General features: G+C 44.8%; 1 protein-coding gene across 3 annotated transcripts in view; it reads right to left on the bottom strand.

The window, feature by feature from the left end:
* The window catches only part of MROH8 (maestro heat like repeat family member 8), a 78,382-nt gene that overhangs the window by 31,360 nt on the left and 25,899 nt on the right, over positions 1-21,123 (bottom strand). For all 3 annotated transcript variants that reach the window (NM_152503.8, NM_213632.3, NM_213631.3), the window contains 4 exon segments: positions 5,284-5,444; positions 8,636-8,788; positions 11,191-11,315; positions 15,248-15,383. In NM_152503.8, coding sequence (NP_689716.4) covers positions 5,284-5,444; positions 8,636-8,788; positions 11,191-11,315; positions 15,248-15,383 — 575 coding nt within the window.

A 21,123-nucleotide genomic window follows, 5' to 3' on the forward strand; every position in this document is an offset into this window, starting at 1 on the left:
TTTCACCATATTGCTCAGGCTGGTCTTGAACTATTGGGCTCAAGCCATCCACCCGTCTCAACCTCCTAAAGTGCTAGGATTACAGGTATGAGCCACCACACCTAGCCAGAAGATACATTTTTTTTTTAACAAGCATCATAGGGGATTCTGAGGCAGTGTTTCAGACACTTTAACAAACACTGCACTAGGAGACTGAAGAAGCCTACATCTTTAAGAACAAATATCTTGCTGTAGCATCCTTACAGAATAGAAAGAGAAACAGCCTCTTGTCTTTTCTGGTGGAGTACTGGGACAGAGCACTGCACCAGGGTAGTATGAGGGACACATGTCACATATGTACTCTATGACTTCTTTGGTCCTGCATTAGTGAACTGAGTTTCTTAAAGTATTTCATGTCCCATAGAGAAACAGTCAGTGGTGAAAATGTAGTGTAATTCCTGTGTCAGTAAATGATACCACCATTAACTTGGCCTCCAAAGCCAAAAACTGAGGAGTGGGGAGTTAGCCTGAATGCCTTCTTCCTCCCTGCCATTCCTTTCTGATTCAATCAAGGTCTGCCTACAGATGCTCCTATTTCTTTTTTTCTTTTTCTTTTTTTGAAATGGAGTTTTGCTCTGTTGCCCAGGCTGGAGTGAAGTCGTGTGATCCTGGCTCACTGTTCAAGCCAATTCTCCTGCCTCAGCCTGCAGAGTGGCTGGGATTACAGGCACATGCCACCAAGCCCGGCTAATTTTTGTATTTTTAGGAGAGATGGGGTTCGCCATGTTGGCCAGAATGGTCTCGAACTCCTGACCTCAGGCGATCCACCTGCCTTGGCCTCCCAAAGTCCTAGGATTACAGGCGTGAGCCACCGTGTCTGGCCAATGCTCCTGTTTCTTTACTCCCTCCTCCTCTCCATCTCTGAAGCCACTGCCCTAATCAGGGCATCATCATCTTTTGCCTGGAAAAGGTGCAACTGCTTAACTGCCTGTCTCTCTTCCTGTTTGGTAGAACAGCCTCTAATCCATTTCCATCAGAGTCACACTAAAAATCTGCATCTGATGATGTAAGTCCCTTAACTAAAGTTCTTCAGTGGCTTCCCAACTCCTGTAGTATAAAGTCCACTATTGTAGTTCTTAGTTGGTCCCAATCTATCGCTGCTAACTTCTGACCACTTTTTAAAAGCAGCTTTAGTAGCTGGGCGTGGTAGCTTACGCCTGAAATCCCAGCACTTTGGGAGGCCAAAGCGGGCGGATCATGAGGTCAGGAGATTGAGACCATCCTGGCCAACATGCTTCAGCTCTAGCCATCACATCACTTTCCAGGTGGCAGGAAGAAGAAAGATGATGAGCCTACTCTCTCCCTTTAAGGTTATTTGCCATAGGTTGCATGTACTACTTCAATTTGCATCCAGAATTTAGACAAATAGTCACACCTATATGCAAAAAGTCTAGGAAATAAGAGTATTTCAAATACCCAACTAAAGTTCAGGGATTATATTACTATAGAAAATGAAAAAATAATTAGTGAATACTGTCTTAAGTATACAACTCACTGACTTTTAGTAAATTTACAAAGTTGTGCAACCATGACGACGATCCAATTTTAGAACATTTCCATCACTGCAAAAAGATCCCTGGTATCTGAGCCCTTCTTACTATCTACTTTCCTCTCCAGCCACTTTGATCTGCATCTGGCTCTTAGCATTCATCAGCTTGGGGGCAGCTCTGCTTTCAGAAATCACTTCCTGACCCTTCATTTAATTAAGTCCTGACCTAGGGGCTTCCACAGAACTCCCTACTTAGCTTTAGAATACTTATGCATCTATGGGGCTACCAGACTGTGCTGCTTAAGGGCGGGGTGCATGTCCTGTCCATTACTTATGGGTCCTAATAGCACCTTGCACATAGTTGATGCTTTAGGCAGCCTCCTAAGAACAACCACTCCAATCTATATGTAAACCCACTAACGTGTGGAGTCCTAATTAGGGGAAGGAAGCCAGGCTGGCGGGAGCAAGGGAAAGCAAAAAGAAAAAGCAGATAAGCTGTAAGTCTGCCTTTCTTCATGGTCCAGGACACGGCCCTTCTGTGCAATCAACTCCCCATCTTCCTGTGCCCAACTATCACCAGACACCTGCAAATTAGCTCATTGCAACTTGGCATTATCTATACTGCACAAGGCCCTCTTCAACACGCAGCATGAACACTATGCTGTAAAATCTTCAACAAGTCTTTGTCTCCTGGCAGTCCGCTTCTCTTTTGCAGGCTGTCTGTTGTCTCTCTGGCGCCATTATTTTCCTACTTTCTCTAATAAATCTGCCTTCCTCTACCCACAACTGTCTTGGTAAATTCTTTTACCCCAGCGCCACCAGCCCAGTCCTTGCTCCCCTGTGACATAATGAACTTCAGGTAAATGACAAAAATATAATCAGAATAACATTTCCTGGCCGGGCGCGGTGGCTCATGCCTGTAATCCCAGCACTTTGGGAGGCTGAGGCGGGCAGATCACGAGGTCAGGAGATTGAGACCACGGTGAAACCCCCTCTCTACTAAAAATACTGTAATCCCAGCACTCTGGGAGGCCGAGGCGGGCGGATCACGAGGTCAGGAGATTGAGACCACGGTGAAACCCCATCTCTACTAAAAATACAAAAAATTAGCTGGGTGGTGGCGGGTGCCTGTAGTCCCAGCTACTTGGGAGGCTAAGCCAGGAGAATGGCGTGAACCCGGGAGGCGGAGCTTGCAGTGAGCCGAGTTCGCGCCACTGCACTCCAGCCTGGGTGACAGAGCAAGACTCTGTCTCAAAAAAAATTAATAATAATAATAATAATAACATTTCCTGAATAAGTCAGTTAAATTTCTAAAAGATTCCATAGTTTGCGTATGATCTACAGCAGTTCTCAAAGTCCTCCCAGAGGTAGAACAAATACAAACAAGAGAATAATGCTAAAAGCATACTTAAAATAATTAAATAGGGCAGCACACGGTGGCTCATGTCTGTCATCCTAGCACTTTGGGAAGCTGAGGCAGGTGGATCACTTGAGCCCAGAAGTTCGAGACCAGCCTGGATAACATTGAGAAACCACAAAAAATAAAAAATTTAGCTGGGCCAGGTGGTGTGGGCCTGTAGTCCCAGTTGCTCCAGTGGCTGAGGTGGGAAGACTGCTTGAGCCTGGAAGGTCGAGGCTGCAGTGAACTATGACTGTGTCACTACACTGCAGCCTGGGTGACAGAGAAAGACCCTGTCTTTAAAAACCCCACAAAAAACAAAACTAAATATATTTAGTATTTTGTACTTAGATTTATTTATTTATTTATTTAATTTGAGACAGAGTCTTGCTTTGTCTCCCAGGCTGGAGTGCAGTGGCGCGATCTCGGCTCACTGCAACCTCCGCCTCCCAGGTTCAAGAGATTCTCCTGCCTCAGCCTCCCAAGTAGCTGTGATTACAGGTGCGCATCACCATGCCAGGCTAATTTTTGTATTTTTTTAATACAGATGGGGTTTCACCATGTTGGCCAGGCTGGTCTGGAACTCCTGACCTTGGGTGATCCACCCCCTTTGGCCTCTGAAAGATTAATTTTTATATAAGAGTTGAGTACGGATAAGCTGTAGCAAGTACCAAACATTTAAGAACAATTTGTTAGAGAAATATACAAAAGCAAGCTCAAAAAATTTTAAAAAATTTAAAAAGCTTGAGTGTGGTGGTACACACCTATAGTCTCAGCTACTCAGGCAGCTGAGGTGGGAAGATCACTTGAGCCCAGGAGTTCAAGGCTGCAGTGAGCCATGATTGAGAAACTGTCTTTAAAAAAAAAAAAAAAGTAAGACTGTTACTCCAAGCTGGAGTGCAGTGGCTATTCACAAGTCCAATCATCATATACGATGGCCCCAAACTCCTGGCCTCCAGTGATTCTCCTGCCTCAGCCTCCTGAGTAGCTAGGACTACAGGCGCGTGCCACCACGCCCAGCTTTTAAAAAAATCCGCATTCTTTTTTTTCTCTGAATGGGTAAAAGTCTTCCATTATTTGATTTAGTTCAGTTTAGAGAACACAATAAGCACTACATCAAGATATTATGTGAGAACCATTCACTTAAAAGAATATTTTTCAAATAGTTTAAAGCAGGGAAATCTCTTCTTAAATAAAATAATTGCCCAGAATCACAATAGAGAAAGCAGATAAAAAGAAGCGCTGCTCTGGTTAAAGTGGGGTGGGGGCATGGAACTTTATTCTGAAGCCTTCCTGCCCCATCCGTAGGCATCTTTGTGGAACTTTCCAGGGTGCCTCCAAATGTGAAAAACACTAATCGAAAAAACCGTCTTTACACCTACTATGTACCCACAAAAATAAACAAAAAACCCATCCTGTTTGATCCTCTCTCTGATTCCATTCTTCTTTATGTATGCGTATCTACTTTTTAAATGTATATATTTATTGCCTTATTTTTAGGCAAAATCATTCTCAAGTCAGTTGCAGACATTATGACACTTTACCTCTAAATAACTTTAGTATCTTATCTCTTAAGAATAAGGACATCCTTCTGCATAACCACAGTATTTCACACCTAAGAAAATTACACTAATTTTTTTTGTTTGTTTGTCTGAGACAGAGTCTTACTCTGTCACCCAGGCTGGAGTGCAGTGGTGTGATCTTGGCTCATTATAACCTCCTCCTCCTGGGTTCAAGAGATTCTCCTGCCTCAGCCTCCCAAGTAGCTGGGATTAGAGGCATCTGCCACCATGCCCGGGGGTAAATTTTGTATTTTTAGTAGAGATGAGGTTTCACCATGTTGGCCAGGCTGGTCTTGAACTCCTGGCCTTAAGTAATCTGCCCACTTCTGCCTCCCAAAGTGCTGGAATTACAGGTGTCAGCCATTGTGCCTAGCCAGAAAATTACACCAATTTAATATTCTAGTATAGAGTCCATATTTAAATTTTCTCCAAGCTTTCTTTTATAGCTTTTGTTTTTGAACCAGGATCCAATCAAGGTCACGCAGTGCGTTTGGGTATGTTTTTGAATATCTTTTTATCTAGGACAGTTCCCTCACCACCAGTTTTACTTCCATGATGTTAATTTTTTTGAAGAGTCCAGTTCAATTATCTTACAGAATGTTCTTCATTTGGGATTTGTGGGATTCTTTTCTGATGATTATGCATTATGTTCTGATTTATATCACCAGCTTTATGTATACTGTGTCTTCTCCACAAGACAATCATTAGATTTTTGAGGGCAACCATGTTTCACAATACCCAGAGCTGTGTCACATAATCCAATTTAATCCAGAGGCTGTACGGGGTTCTGTTACCTGTTATACGGCACTGGATGACACAGAAGGAAGCTGAGCACTATATCTGTGTACTTGGGTCTGGATATAAATAAACTCACGGTATTTATGATTTGTTGGCGGACTCTAGGCTGGCTGATTATGGATAACTGGGCACAGATAACTCCCATAATTTCTGGCACCTGAAGAGGAAAAAGAAATTACTAAGACTGTAATCCTATAGGACACTGATGGTTACTGAGGATACTGTGGCCATTTCTGAAAGGTCTTGGGGGGGTGACTTTTTTTTAAAGACAGGGTCTTGCTCTGTTGCCCAGCCTGGAATGCAGCGGTGCAAACATAGCTCACTGCAGCCTTGAACCCCTGGCCTCAAATGATCCTCCCACCTCAGCCTCCTGAGTAGCTGGGACTACAGGCACACACCACCACACCCAGGTCATTGTTGTATTTTTTTGTAGAGACAAGATCTCTCTATGTTGCCCAGACTGGTCTTGAATTCCTGGGCTCAAGCGATCCTCCTGCTTGGCCTCCCAAAGTGCTGGAATTACAGGTATAAGCCACTGCGCCTGACCCCTAGGGGGTGACTTTTAAACAAACTGTTTATTATTTTTTGAAGTTTATGATTAAAACTACTTAAAATATATCTGTATGTGTGTATACACATATGAAGGATTTGGAAAGATTTATAATCAAAGCTGTCAATACTGTGTTTTTGAGGGACAGAGTATTAGATTTTTTTGCTTCTATATTTTTTCTAATTTTTCCTCAATAATTGATGTATTGATTTTATAACAAGACAAACTAATAAAAGTGTTGCAAGGAAGCTGGGCTTTTTTCCACTGTGACTCTGAGAATGGCAGTGGAGTCCTTACCTATCTTCTTTCCAGAGATGTCCATCAGGCTTAGGTAAGGGAAATAGGAGCCACTGGGCTTTGGTCTATTTCTCTGCTTGGACCGCTCTTCCCACCCACAGACGCATGGGTTCCTGTCTCTGTGGAAATGTCAGCTTCTCAGAGAGGCACACCTCAACCACTTAATATAAAATGGCCATCATCAGCACCAGTAGGCTGGGCATGGTGGCTCATAGCAGTAATCCCAGCACTTTGGGAGGCTGCGGCAGGCGGATCACTTGAGGTCAGGAGTTCAAGACCTGCCTTGCCAACATGGTGAAACCCCATCTCTGCTAAAAATACAAAAAATTAGCTTGGTGTCATGGCAGGCGCCTGTAATCCCATCTACTTGGGAGGCTGAGGTGGAAGAATCACAGCAACCTGGGAGGCGGAGGTTGCAGGGAGCAAGACTGCACCACTGCACTCAAGCCTGAGCAACAGAGCAAAATGCTGTCTCCAAAAACAAATAAACAAAATAATAATAATAATAATAATAATGATAATAATTCTGGCTAACAAACACAAGGGTAAATTTACCGGCGTTTTGCGGAAAGATTTTCTTCCCTGAATCAAGACATAAAAAGGAAGGCAACATCTTTCTTCTTCTTGGACTTAGTCTACTCCACTCAGAAAGTCCAAAATTGCTCTGACTACCTTATGACCACATGAACAGACAAGGCAGAAGGATGAAGAAACCCCTGGGTCTTCAATAACACTGTTGAATCACTGAATCAATCTTGGAAAATACTCTATGTCCAGACTTGTTATTATGTGAAAGAATAAATCCTTTGGTTAAACTTCTACCTGCTGGGCTTTTTTTGCTGCTAAAAGCACCCAACTGATACAAATGCCCATCTCACCTGCTCTTATCGTGTTATTCTTTTTGCATCTTTGTTATTTTAATAGGTTAAAAAAAGGGTGCTCATCATTTGTTGTTGTTGTTTTTAATTTGTTTTATTTGTTGTTGTTTTTTGAGACAAGATCTCCCTCTGTCGCCCAGGCTGGAATGTAAAGGCATGATCATGGCTCCCTGCAGCCTTGTCTTACTGGGCTCAAGCAACCCTCCTGCCTCAGCTTCCCAAGTAGCTGGGAACACAGGTGTGTGCCACCATGCCTGGCTAATTTAAAAAAATTTTTTTGTAGAGATGGGGTCTCACTATGTTGCCCAGGCTGGTCTTGAACTCCTGGGCCCAAGCAATTTGCCTGCCTCAACCTCCCAAAGTGCTGGGATTATAAGTGTGAGCCACCATACCTGGCCGGTTCTCATCATTCTTAAATTATTTTTTATTTGTACCCAACTACAACATCCAGTGGTATTTCAAGCTTCTTTCCTCCCTATTCCCCAGGTCTGTTCTTCAGAGAGAACTACTTTTATCCCTTTTGTCTCTTCCAGCATGTCCTTCTCTATTTCTAAATAACATAACTATATAGTTATTTCTTAATGTATTAATTTTAGATATATTTAGATAAATTCTCTTAATTTTGATTTGTAAGTCTGCCTCCTTCTAGGGTCACTTATGGCTTTTTATTTACTTTTATTTATTTATTTTGAGGCAGCTTGTCGCCCAAGCTGGAGGGCAGTGACGCGATCTCAGCTCACTGCAGCCTCCGCTTCCTGGGTTAAAGCAATTCTCTTGCCTCAGCCATCCAAATAGCTGGCAATGCAGGTGTGCACCACCATGCCTGGCTAATTTTTGTATTTTAAGTAGAGACAGGGTTAAGCTATGTTGCCGAGGCTGGTCTCAAACTCTTGAGCTCAAGCCATCTGCCCACCTTTGCCTCCCAAAGTACTGGGATTACAGGCGTGAGCCACTGCGCCTGACCACTTACAGCTTTTTAAATCTTGATACCTTTAACCCATCTGGATGAGTATCTAAATTAAAGTTATTCTCATATGTGTTAGTTATATCTCCCCAGAAAAACTCTACTCTTCTAGAAAATATGGACCGCATCTTTTTTTTTTTTTTTGAGATGGAGTCTCGCCCTGTCGCCCAGGCTGGAGTGCAGTGGTGCGATCTTGGCTCACTGCAACCTCCACCTCCAAGGTTCAAGCGATTCTCCTGCCACAGCCTCCCAAGTAGCTGGGACTACAGGCACGCGCCACCACGCCCAGCTACTTTTTGTATTTTTAGTTGAGACGGGGTTTCACCATGTTGGCCAGGATGGTCTCGATTTCTTGACCTCATGATCCACCCGCCTCAGCCTCCCAAAGTGCTGGGATTACAGGCGCGAGCCACCGTGCCTGGTCATAGACCACATCTTAGATTAAAAAAAAAAAAGTCTCCCTCCCTGGTTACATACACAGTAGTTGTTTGGTGTATGTTTATAGAGTGGATATTTATGACTAAACAGACTAAGGTTTGACCCTGTACTCATGAGTAGTCGTTCTCAGCTGAGAAGGACAAGCAGAGACTTCAATAGCTGCAGGGATGAAGAGGTTCTACTGGCTTTTTGAACCCAGGAAATTGCCACTGAAAGTTTACCTTCTCAAATTGGGACTCTGTATTTTTTGCCAAAGTTAGCAGTAATTCTCCTGCTGATCGCTGGATGCAGGGATGTTTCAGGGTTTTCAGGGTATCAAATGTAGTCATTATAAACTGGCAGAGCTCATTTGAATCAAGAAAACCTTCAAAGACCTGAAATGATGTAGGAAAATGAACTTCCAAGAAATAGGGAAATATGGTATGATAGAAAGTGTCCTGAACAAGGACTTGAGTCTAAGTTAACAATCAGAGAAGTGGACAAAGATGTACAAGGCTGTTTTATTTGAGTCTTGTGGTTTTGTTTTGTTTTTGGAGATAGCATCTTACTCTGTCATCCAGGTAGGGGCACAATCACGGCTCACTGTAGCCTCAACCTCTTGGGCTCAAGTGATCCTCCTGCCTCAGCCTTCTGAGTAGCTGAGGCTACAGGCACCTGCTACTACACTCTGATAATTTTTAAAATTTTTTGTGAAGTCAGGGGTCTCACTATGTTGCCCAGGCTGGCTGTGAACTCTTGGCTCAAGTAATCCTTCTGCCTCAGCCTCCCAAAGTGTCAGGATTATAGGTGCAAGCCATGCACCCAGCCCAGTCTTGTTTACCATGGTAAAAAGGTGGAAGCAATCCAAATGTCCACTGCTAGCATCTGTGCATGGCCTTTTGCTGCTCTGACACTGAGGCTGGAGTGCAGTGGTGCGATCACAGCTCACTGCAGCCTGGACCTCCCAGGCTGAAGTCATCCTCCCACTTCAGCTTCCTGAGTAGCTAGGACTACAGGCGTGCACCACCACAGCCAGCTAATTTTTTTATTTGTGGAGATGAGGTCTCGCTATGTTGCCCAGGATGGTCTCGAATCCTAGGCTCAAGTGATCCTTCCGCCTCAGCCAACCAAAGTGCTGGGATGACAGGGGTGAGCCACTGCATCCAGCCTGCTGCTCTTACATTTAGAAAGAAGCTTTATTGACCAGGTGCAGTGGCTCATGCCTGTAATACCAGTTGTTTGGGACCCTAAAGCGGGAGAAATACTTGAGCCCACGACTTGAGACTAGCCACTTGGCCAACATGGAGAAACACTGTCTCTACTAAAAATACAAAAATTAGCTGGGCGTGGTGGTGCTTGCCTGTAATCCCAGCTACCTGGGAGGCTGCGGGAGGAGAATTGCTTGAATCTGGGAGGCGGAGGTTGCGGTGAGACGAGATCGTGCCACTACACTCCAGCCTGGGCGACAGAGCAAGACTCCGTCTCAAAAAAAAAAAAAAAAAAAAAAAAAAAAGAAGCCTGGCATGTGGCTCATGTCTATAATCCCACCACTTTGGTTGGGAGGCCAAGGCAGGTGGATCACCTGAGGTCAGAGTTCAAAATCAGCCTGACCAACATGGAGAAACCCCATCTCTACTAAAAATACAAAATTAGCCGGGTGTAGTGGCACATGCCTATAATCCCAGCTACTCAAGAGGCTGAGGCAGGAGAATTGCTTGAACCCAGGAGGCGGAGGTTGCAGTGAGCCAAGATTGCGCCATTGCATTCCAGCCTGGGCAACAAGAGCGAAACTCTGTCTCAAAGAAACAGCCCCCCCAAACAAAACAAAACAAAACAAAACAAAACAAAACAAAAAGAAAAGGAAAGAAAAGAAAAAGAAAGAAGCTTTATTATGAGATCTTCAGAAAGAGTCATACTTTTATACGATAGGACTTAAAAAAAGGCCCTAATGTTACACAGCTGACAGGTTCCCAGGCATAATTAAAATGCCTTGTCAGGAGACAACATACTAAAAGAATGTGTCATTCTGTTTCTCATTGCATTTGGTAGTAAAGTCCTTCACATGATTATAATAGGTACAATCTACTGGGCACTTACTATGTGACAAGCATTTAGCAAAGCATTTTCCATACGGTATCTCCTTTAACAACGACTGAATTGTAAACAGTATAAATTGTAAAAAAGAAATTGTAAAAACTGTCCCAATTTTTACAGATCTCCATCGCACAGATGAGAAAACTGATGTGCAGAGAGATGAAATTACTTGGTACCTTTCACCCTACATGAGTAAGATCTGTGGGTTTTCTTTATTTTCCCCTATTCCCTAGCATACCTGGTACCTGGCAGATGTATAAGTATTTATTGAATAATGAATAACTACATTAATTTAAAAAGTCTGGCTTGTTGGATCAACCATACTCTCTTGCAGCTCCTTTTTGTGACCAGCATTTACATTTGCAAGAGACTCGCAATTATGAATAGTAGGAGCAGAGCTGGTATGAAGTGAAGTCCAGGGATACTGGCCTCAATGGCAGGTTGACCTTAACCCCCAAACTAAGAAGGCAAGGCATATATGGGCCAGGAACATGGTGCCTTGTCTCCAAACTACGGAACGTTTAGAGACCACGTTTCCTGGGCAATTGTGTATGGTTTTGTTTTATAAGAAACTACCAGAACTTTTTCCAAAGTGGTTTTTACTGTTTTACGTTTCCATGAATAAATGGCAGGAGACTTCTGGTTGTTCCCCATCCTTGCCAACACTTCTGGCTGTGGTTATAATTTTAGCCATTCTTATTACCTGGGCAATTCTGAAGGGACAGTTGTAGAAGCATTTAGCGGCAGAGCTGTGGAGCTCCAGGAATTCTCGACATTTTGTCAATGCTCTTTTCAAGTTTTGCTGATCTTTCTTGTCATGAGTGATATCTGAAAAGAAAATATAAAATATTAATACTTTCTGGCTTCTTTTTTTCTTCTTGATTTTACAGGTCTGGTTGATCTTCAGTTTAAAGTGGATTCCAAGATCTCACTCTTCTTTTTCACTTGAACAAAAATGCCTGGGGGAGGGAGTGTTTGTTCATCTGAAGGCTGATTTATTTCTCTTTCCTTCTAGAACAATACATAAAAAGAACCAAAAGAAAAAACAAAGAGGAGGTCGAGGCAGATGGATCACTTGAAGTCAAGATTTCGAGACAAACCTGGCCAACATGGCGATACCGAAAAATAAAAAAATTAGCCAAGCATGGTGGCGCACTCCTGTAGTCCCAACTACTTGGGAGGCTGAGGTGGGAGGATCACTTGAACCCAAGAGGTGGAGCTTGCAGTGAACCGAGATCACGCCACTGCACTCCAGCCTGGGTGACAGAGTTAAGACCCTGTCTTTTCTTTTTTAAATTTTTTTTTTGAGGCAGAGTTTCACTCTTATCACCCAGGCTGGAGTGCAATGGCGCGATCTCAGCTCACCGCAACCTCTGCCTCCTGGAGGTGATTCTCCTGCCTCAGCCTCCTGAGTAGCTGGGATTACAGGCATGCGCCACCATGCCCAGCTAATTTTGTATTTTTAGTAGAGATGGGGTTTCTCCATTTTGGTTCAGACTGGCCTCGAACTCCTGACCTCAGGTGATCCACCCACCTCAGCCTCCCCCAGTGCTGGGATTACAGGCATGAGCCACCATGCCCAGCCAACCCTGTCTTTAAAAAGAAGAAGAAGAAGAAAAAAGCAAAAGCAAAGAGCTTTTTGTAAGACCAGAGCATTTGAGTGATTTGTGAGTACAACCAAAGCATGCTACCTTATTTCCCCACTGGTGAGGAACTGTGAGGGGTCTCCCTATGAAGCTTAGGTTCCCAGAAAAAATTGCCCAACTCTATACTGTGTATGATAATTCTGATATCAGAACTCTTCATCATGTGTCAAGTATGCCAATGCTCCTTGTAGTGTCTTGTTTTTCTCATGTTTCATTGTGACCTAATATTTGCTGGAAATTCGTAGATGGAAAATTTATCTTTGAGCCCTTGGCTGAGGATACTTTCTCTCCAACTAGAAAATAAGTTCCCTGGGGGAAGGTATCTTGTTTGTCTTGATTACTGATGCATCACTAGAACAATAAATGCTTCATAACTATTTGCTGAATCAATAATCAACGTATTTCTTTGGCTGTATACCTGGTAGAGATTGCTCATACTGTGCCCAATGACAGGACAGTTGCTTTGGGAAGCATGGAGCTTCCTCATCCATGTGAAGCGCAGACTGAGGCAGAGGAACTACGGTTGTGTGTAGCTTAACAACAGGGATATGTTTTGAGAAATGCACTGTTAGGCTATTGCGTCACTGCATGAACATCACATAGAGAGTACCTTCTTTTTTTTTTTTTAAGACAGAGTCTCTCACTCTGTCACCCAGGCTGGAGTGCAGTGGCGTGATCTCAGCTCACTGCAACCTCCACCTCTCACGTTTAAGCGATTCTCCTGCCTCAGCCTCCTGGGTAGCTGGGACTATAGGCACGCGCCATCACGCCAGGCTAATTTTTGTATTTTTAGTAGAGATGGGGTTTTGCCCTGTTGGCCAGGCTGGTCTTGAATTCCTGACCTCAGGTGATGGACCCTCCTTGGCCTCCCAAAGTGCTGGGATTACAGGCATGAGCCACTGTGCCTGGCCTAATTTTTTTTTTTTTTACATTCTAAAGTGTTTTTGTTAAAAACTAAGACAAAAAACACACACTAGCCTAGGCCTACACAAGATCAGGATAATCAATACCACTGTCTTCCATCTCCACATCCTGCCCCACTGGAAGGTATTCAGGGCAATAACACGCATGGAACTGTCATCTCCTATGATAACAATGCCTTCTTTAGGAATACCTCCTGAAGGGCCTGCCTGGGGATGTTTCACAGCTAACTGTTTTTTTAATAAGTAGAAGGAGTCATGCTAAACTAATGATAAAATGTATAGTAAATAAATGAACCAGTAACATAGTTATTTATTATCATTACCAAGGATATATACTGTACCTAATTGTAGGTGCTATACTTTTATATGACTGGCAGTGCAGTAGGTTTGTTTACACCAGTATCACCACAAACATGAATAATGCATTGTACTGTAATGTTATGATGGCTACAATGTCACTAGGTGATAGAAAACTTTCAGCTCAGCTGGGTACGGTGGTGGACACCTGTAGTCCCTGCACTTTAGGAGGCTGAGGTAGGAGGACTGCTTGAGTTCAGGAGTTGGAGACCAGCCTGGGCAACATAGTGAGACTTCGTTTCTTTTTATTCTTTTTTCTTTCTTTTTTTTTTTTCTTTTTGAGATGGAGTCTTGCTCTGTCACCAGGCTGGAGTACCGTGGTGTGATCTTGGCTCACTGCAACCTCTGCCTCCCAGGTTCAAGCGATTCTCCTGCCTCAGCACCCCAAGTAGCTGGGACTACAGGCATGCCACCACGCTCAGCTAATTTTTGTATTTTTAGTAGAGACGGGGTTTCACCAGGTTGGCCAGGATGGTCTCAATCTCTTGACATCGTGATCCACCCGCCTCGGCCTCCCAAAGTGCTGGGATTACAGGTGTGAGCCACTGTGCCAAGTCGAGACTTCCTTAAAAAAAAAAAATAATAAGGCTGGGCGTGGTGGTTCACGCCTGTAATCCTACCACTTTGGGATGCTGAGGCGGGCAGATCACTTGAGATCAGGAATTCGGGACCAGCCTGGCCAACATTAAGTAACATTTAGTAGGGATGGTGAAACCCCATCTCTACTAAAAATACAAAAATTGGCTGGGTGTGGTGGCGGCTGCCTGTAATCCCAGCTACTCAGGAGGCTGAGGCACGAGAACTGCTTGAACCTGGGAGGTGGAGGGTGCAGTGAGCCAAGATCACACCACTGCACTCCAGCCTGGGTGACAGAGCGAGACTCCATCTCAAAATAAAATAAAATAAAATAAAAAGAAAAATTTCAGCTCCATTCTAATCTTACGTGACCCATACATGATCAGTTGTTGACTGAAATGTCATTATATGGTGCATGACTGTACTTGGTAGGGATGGAGTAGACTGAGATTCAAACACTGGGGGAATGCTGGGTTAGATATCCTCTAAAGTCCCTTCTAACCATGGAAGTCAGTGATTCATTCCTTGACCACACTGGCCCTCTCTCTATTTTTCAAACTCCTCAAGCTCATGCCTACCCAGGTTCCTTTCCTTAGCCATTCCTTCTGCCTAATATACTCTTCTTACCTCTTCAGGTGGCAAACTGCTCTTTATTCTCTGGATTACCTTTCCTGAACCCAGCAACTAGATTTGATTCTTACTCATGGCCCCTGTAATTTCCCTTCATAAGGACATTAATTTTCCTGCAGCCTCGACCTCCTGGGCTCAAGCGATTCTCCCACTTTCGTCTCCTGAGTAGTTGAGATTATAGGCATACTCCACCATGCCAGCTAATTTTTAAAATTTTCTGTAGAGAAGGGGTTTTCCCTGTTGCCCAGGCTGGCCTTGAACTCCTGGGCCCACGCAGTCCTCCCGGCTTGGCCTGGCAAAATGCTATGAACATAGGAGTGAGCCACTGCGCCCAGCCTCACTCCTACTTCTGACCAAACTAATCACTCTAGTTTGTCCACAGGGCCACATGTTTAGCCACTCCCTGGCTATGCAGATGGATGGCAATGATGGGTCTGATCTAGTGTTAGGATTCTAATTATTAAGTCAGTGTTGCTTCATCTCTGCCTATGGACCATGTATCCTTCTCTTTAGGAACTACTGTAAAAGGCCTTTCCAGAACATGGGGACTGAATGCGTAAGGAGGGCAGGTACTTATGTTGTGCTGGAGAATTCACTCAGGACCTCGCGGCCTTCAGCAGTGCCTTACACTTCAGCCTCAGGGTGATATGCAGCAGGGAGTGAATGCCCTCTGCAGCCTCCTCAGCCACCTTTTCCTGTGGGTCCCCACAGAGCAGTGCCATCAGAGCCACTAGGTGTCCAAGTCTTTGGAATCGCAGTGGAAGCTTGAGAAAGAAAAAGAAAAATGTCATTAGAATACACGTGCATTTAGTGCCTTCGATTTGAGTTGTTGAGAAGTAATCCCAATTCTACTCTCAACTCAAGAAGTTTAAGGGTCACAATCAGCCTGTGGATCTCTGTAGGGTTCATATTTAACACAGGTAGACACAGTATAGTCAGTAGATGGTGTTATTAAGAAATAGGGAAATGCTAACCTAAGGAAACAATCTGAAAAACGAAAAAGCTTTGTGCATAAAGATGTTAATTCCAGCACTGTTTTTATTTTTATTTTTTAATTTTAATTTTTGGGAGTACATAGTAGGTCTATATATTTGTGGGGTATACAGATGTTTTGATACAGGCATGCAATGCATAGTAATCACATCATGTAAAATGGAGTATCCACCCCCTCAAGCATTTATCCTTTGTGTTATAAACAGTCCAATTATATTCTTTTAGTTATTTTAATAATTTTTTTTTTTGAAACAGAGTTTTGCCCTTTTCACTCAGGCTGGAGTGCAATGGCACAATCTCAGCTCACTGCAACCTCTGCCTCCCCGGTTCAAGCGATTCTCCTGCCTCAGCCTCCCGAGTAGCTGGAATTACAGGTGTGAGCCACCACACCCAGCTGATTTTTGTATCTTTAGTAGAGATGGGGTTTCGCTGTGTTGGCCAGGCTGGTCTCAAACTCCTGACCTCAAGTGATCCACCCACCTCAGCTTCCCAAATTACAGGCCTGAGCCACTGCAGCTGGCCAATAAACGTACATTTAATATTACTAAATAAAAATGTATTAAAATTTTAATATTATTTAAAAATTACTAATGCACAATAGTCACCCTGTTGTGCTATAAAATATTAGGTCTTATTCATTCTAACAATGTTTTTGGTACCTATTAACCATGCCCACCTCTCCCCAATCCTGCCACGACCCTTCCCAGCCTCTGATAACTATCCTTCCATTCTCTATCTCCATGAGTTAAACTGTTTTGATTTTCAGGTCCCACAATATGTGAAAACATGTGATGTTTGTCTTTCTATGCCTGGCACATTTCACTTAGCATAATGACCTCCAGTTCCATCCATGTTGTTGCAAATGACAGGATCTCATTCCTTTTATGGCTGAATAGTACTTCATTGTGTATAAGAACCACATTTTCTTTATCCATTCATCTGTTGGTGGACACTTAGGCTGCTTCCAAACCTTGGCTATGGTGAAGAGTGTCGCAACAAACAAGGGAGTGCAGATATCGCTTCCATATACTGATTTCCTTTCTTTGGGGTATAGACCCAGCGGTGGTCTAAGGACCGCGCTTTGGAAATAATTGCATGACAGTAGTAAAAGGAATTATCCTACAGCCAGTCTATGAACACAACCATTAAAAATCAAGTATCTAAGGAATTTATAATGTGCTATTCTGCTAAGTAAAAAAGCTGAATGTGGCCAGGTGCAGTGGCTCATGCCAGTAATCCCAGCACTTTGGGAGGCTGAGGCGGGTGGATCACCTGAGGTCAGGGATTCGAGACCAGCCTGCCTGGCCAACATGGCAAAACCCCATCTCTACTAAAAGTATGAAAATCAGCCAGGTGTGGTGGTGGGCACCTGTAATCCCAGCTACTCAGGAGGTTGAGGAAGGAGAATCGCTTGAACCTGGGAGGTGCAGGTTGTAGTAAGCTGAGATCGTGCCACTGCACTCCAGCCTGGGTGACGAGAGTGAGACTCCATTTCAAAATAAATAAATAAATACATAAATACATACATACATACATACATAAAATAAAAAATAAAAATAAGCTGAACGCAAAGTTGAGATATAGCACTTAATTCTATTTATAAAATTCATTTTTTAATATCCTGCTTGATTATGGAAAAAAAATCCATGTAATGTAGCTGGAAAAATCATACCAGAAAAAGAAATATAACTTTAAATAAATACTGGAGAAAACTGGATAAATTAAAAAATTGGCTGGGCGCGGTGGTTCATGCCTATAACCCCAGCACTTTGGGAGGCCAAGGCGGACATATCATTTGAGGTCAGGAGTTCAAGACCAGCCTGGCCAACATGGTGAAACCCCGTCTCTACTAAAAACACAAAAAAATTAGCTGGGCGTGGTGGCACATGCCTGTAATCCCAGCTACTCGGGAGGCTGAGGCAGGAGAATTGCTTGAACCTGGTAGGCGGAGGTTGCAGTCAGCCGAGATTGCACCACTGTACTCCAGCCGGGGCAACAGAATGAGACTCCATTTCAAAATAAATAAATAAATAAAAATTAAAAAAATTAAAAATAATAAAAAAACATTAAGGTAGAAAAGATAAATGAAGTTAAGAATTTGGTTGGCGCTCTCCCTCTCCTTCATCTCCGTCTCCCGCTTTCCACGGTCTCCCCCTCTCCCTCGTCTCCGTCTCCCACTTTCCACGGTCTCCCTCTGTTGCCGAGGCTGGACTGTACTGCCGCGATCTCGGCTCACTGCAACCTTCCTGCCTGATTCTCCTGCCTCAGCCTGCCGAGTGCCTGGGATTGCAGGCACGCGCCGCCACGCCTGACTGGTTTTTGTGTTTTTTGGTGGAGACGGGGTTTCGCCATGTTGGCCGGGCTGGTCTCCAGCTCCTGACCTCGAGTGATCTGCCCGCCTCGGCCTCCCGAGGTGCCGGGATTGCAGACGGAGTCTCGCTCACTCAGTGCTCAATGTTGCCCAGGCTGGAGTGCAGTGGCGTGATCTCGGCTCGCTACAACCCCCACCTCCCAGCCACCTGCCTTGGCCTCCCGAAGTGCTGAGATTGCAGCCTCTGCCCGGCCGCCACCCTGTCTAGGAAGTGAGGAGCGTCTCTGCCTGGCTGCCCATCGTCTGGGATGTGAGGAGCCCCTCTGCCCGGCCGCCCAGTCTGGGAAGTGAGGAGCGCCTCTTCCCGGCCACCACCCCGTCTAGGAAGTGAGGAGCGTCTCTGCCTGGCCGCCCATCGTCTGGGATGTGAGGAGCCCCTCTGCCCAGCCACCCAGTCTGGGAAGTGAGGAGTGCCTCTTCCTGGCCGTCATCCCGTCTAGGAAGTGAGGAGCGTCTCTGCCTGGCCGCCCATCGTCTGGGATGTGGGGAGCGCCTCTGCCCGGCCGCCACCCTGTCTGAGAGGTGAGGAGCGCCTCTGCCCGGCCGCGACCCCGTCTGGGAACTGAGGAGCGCCTCTGCCCGGCCGCCCCATCCAAGAAGTGAGGAGCCCCTCTGCCCAGACGCCCCGTCCGAGAGGTGGGGGGCGCCCCCGCCCGGCAGCCGCCCCGTCTGGGAGGTGGGGGGCGCCCCCGCCCGGCAGCCGCCCTGTCCGGGAGGTGGGGGGTGCCCCCGCCTGGCAGCCGCCCCGTCTGGGGGGTGGTGGGCCCCTCTGCCCGGCTGCCACGTCTGGGAAGTGAGAAGTCCCTCTGCCCAGCCGCCACCCCGTCTGGGAGGTGTACCCAACAGCTCATTGAGAACGGCCACGAGAACGATGGCGGTTTTGTTGAATAGAAAAGGGGGAAATGTGGGGAAAAGAAAGAGAGATCAGATTGTTACTGTGTCTGTGTAGAAAGAAGTAGACATAGGAGACTCCATTTTGTTCTGTACTAAGAAAAATTCTTCTGCCTTGGGATGCTGTTAATCTATAACCTTACCCCCAACCCCGTGCTCTCTGAAACATGTGCTGTGTCAACTCAGGGTTAAATGGATTAAGGGCGGTGCAAGATGTGCTTTGTTAAACAGATGCTTGAAGGCAGCATGCAAAAAAAAAAAAAAAAAAAGAATTTGGTTGGCATGCAGAATGCATAATCATCATTTGCTTGAGGCAGGCCACAGAGCAAGGCTCTGAACTCTCTCATGGCTAATGTAGAGGTGCACACAATGATCCATATAACATGATTCACGCTGTCCTTAAGATAAGAAGCAACTAGCCACGTGGAGGAAGCATAGCTTTTCCTAGGGTTGAGATGGAAAGAAATTTCTTCCATGGCTCTACAGAAATAAGACACAGAAATATTGTGAACAGCATTTACAACCTATTTACAGTAAACACGTAGCAACATGCAAAGCTATGTAACATCTTTAATTCACTGATATAACCTTCATTCATTCAATCAACCAATAAATACAGTGTCTGTTATATGCCAGGAACTATGACTGGCACTGGGGATATAAGCAGTCAACAAAAGAGAATATCCCTGCTTGTGGAGGTGATGATCTAGTTGGGGAAACACAAAGTAAACAAAATAAATATGTAAAATGTATTATGTATCAAATGATGATAAATGTCATGATTAACAAAAATTCAGGGGAAAGGGATAAGAATTATTATTTTAGGATGGTCAGGGAAGGCCTCACTAATATTGAAATGAGAGATTGATACCTGGGAGAAGAGTATTCTGGGCAGAGAGAATGGCAAGCGCCAAGGACTGAGAAGGTATGTTTGGTGTTTCTGAGGAACCATAAGTAGGTTAGGTTGGCTGCAGCGATGTTAACGATAGGGAAAGAAATAGGAAGTAGATGAAGAATGGGCCAGAAGGTGTCGCAACCTGTAGAACATTGTGAGGACTTTGGCCGTCGGAGGGTCTTGAGCAGAGAAGGGACATGGGTTGACTCACATTTACTCAATCAATATTGAATTGAGCATCAACCACATGGCCGATTCTGTGCTAGGCAGGCACTGAGGCTACTGTGCTGAACAAGACAAGTATAATTGCAAGGCACAGTGGCTCATGTCTGTAATCCCAGCATTCTGGGAGGCAGAGGTGGGAGGATTGTTTGAGCCCAAGAGTTTGGACCACCTTGGGCAATATAGTGAGACCCCCATCTGTATAAAAAACAAAAAAATTAACCAGGCATGGTGGCACATGCCTGTAGTCCCAGCTACTCAGGAGGCTAAGGCAGGAGCATTGCTTAAGGCCAGGAGGTTGAGGCTGCAGTGAGCTGTGATTGTGCTACTGTACTCCAACTTGGGTGACAGAGCAAGACCCTGTCTCACATAAAAAAAAAAAAAAAAGACAAGCATAATCACTGGTAGAATTTACATTCTATTAGTGGGAAACAGATAACACAGCAGTAAAGAAAGAATCAAGCCAGATAACCTCTGATTCTAGACAGCCCTAGGAAGGAGAGAGTGATGAGACAGAGAGCAAGCGTAGGTCTGTCTGTGGTGAGCAGAGGCCCTTTTGAGGTCGAGACATCTGAACACAGTGCTAAAGAACCAGGAGGGGCTGGCTCTGTGCAGAGCTAGGGAAGGTCATTCCAAGCAGAGAAGGCAGCAAGTGCAAAGGCCATGAGGCAAGATGAGCCTTATGTGGGAAGAAGGAAGGTAAAGGTGGCTGCTGTGTGATAAGTCAGGGGACTTAGGTGTAGAGAGGTAGACAGACCTACATCAGACATGACCCCGTATTCTAAGATCAGTTTGGAAATCACTGGATCAAAGAAGTGACATGGGGCAAAAAAAGAAAATGAAGAAAAATAAAGAAAACACAGGGGAGAAAACAAGGAAACAAAACAAAAGCAAGAATGACATGGGTCTGAAGAGGATGACTCTGGCTATATGTAGAGAACAAATTGGAAATGGAAGCCCCCACCCCAACACACTCATGCACAAAAAAGAACTTGGAAGGTGCCAGGCGCGGTGGCTCTGCCTGTAATCCCAGAACTTTGGGAGGCCGAGGCAAGCAGATCACTTGAGGCCAAGGATTCGAGACCAGCCTGGCCAACATGGTGAAACTCCGTCTCTACTAAAACTACAAAAA

Source organism: Homo sapiens, chromosome 20, assembly GCF_000001405.40.
Source record: "Homo sapiens chromosome 20, GRCh38.p14 Primary Assembly".
Lineage (NCBI taxonomy): Eukaryota > Metazoa > Chordata > Mammalia > Primates > Hominidae > Homo > Homo sapiens.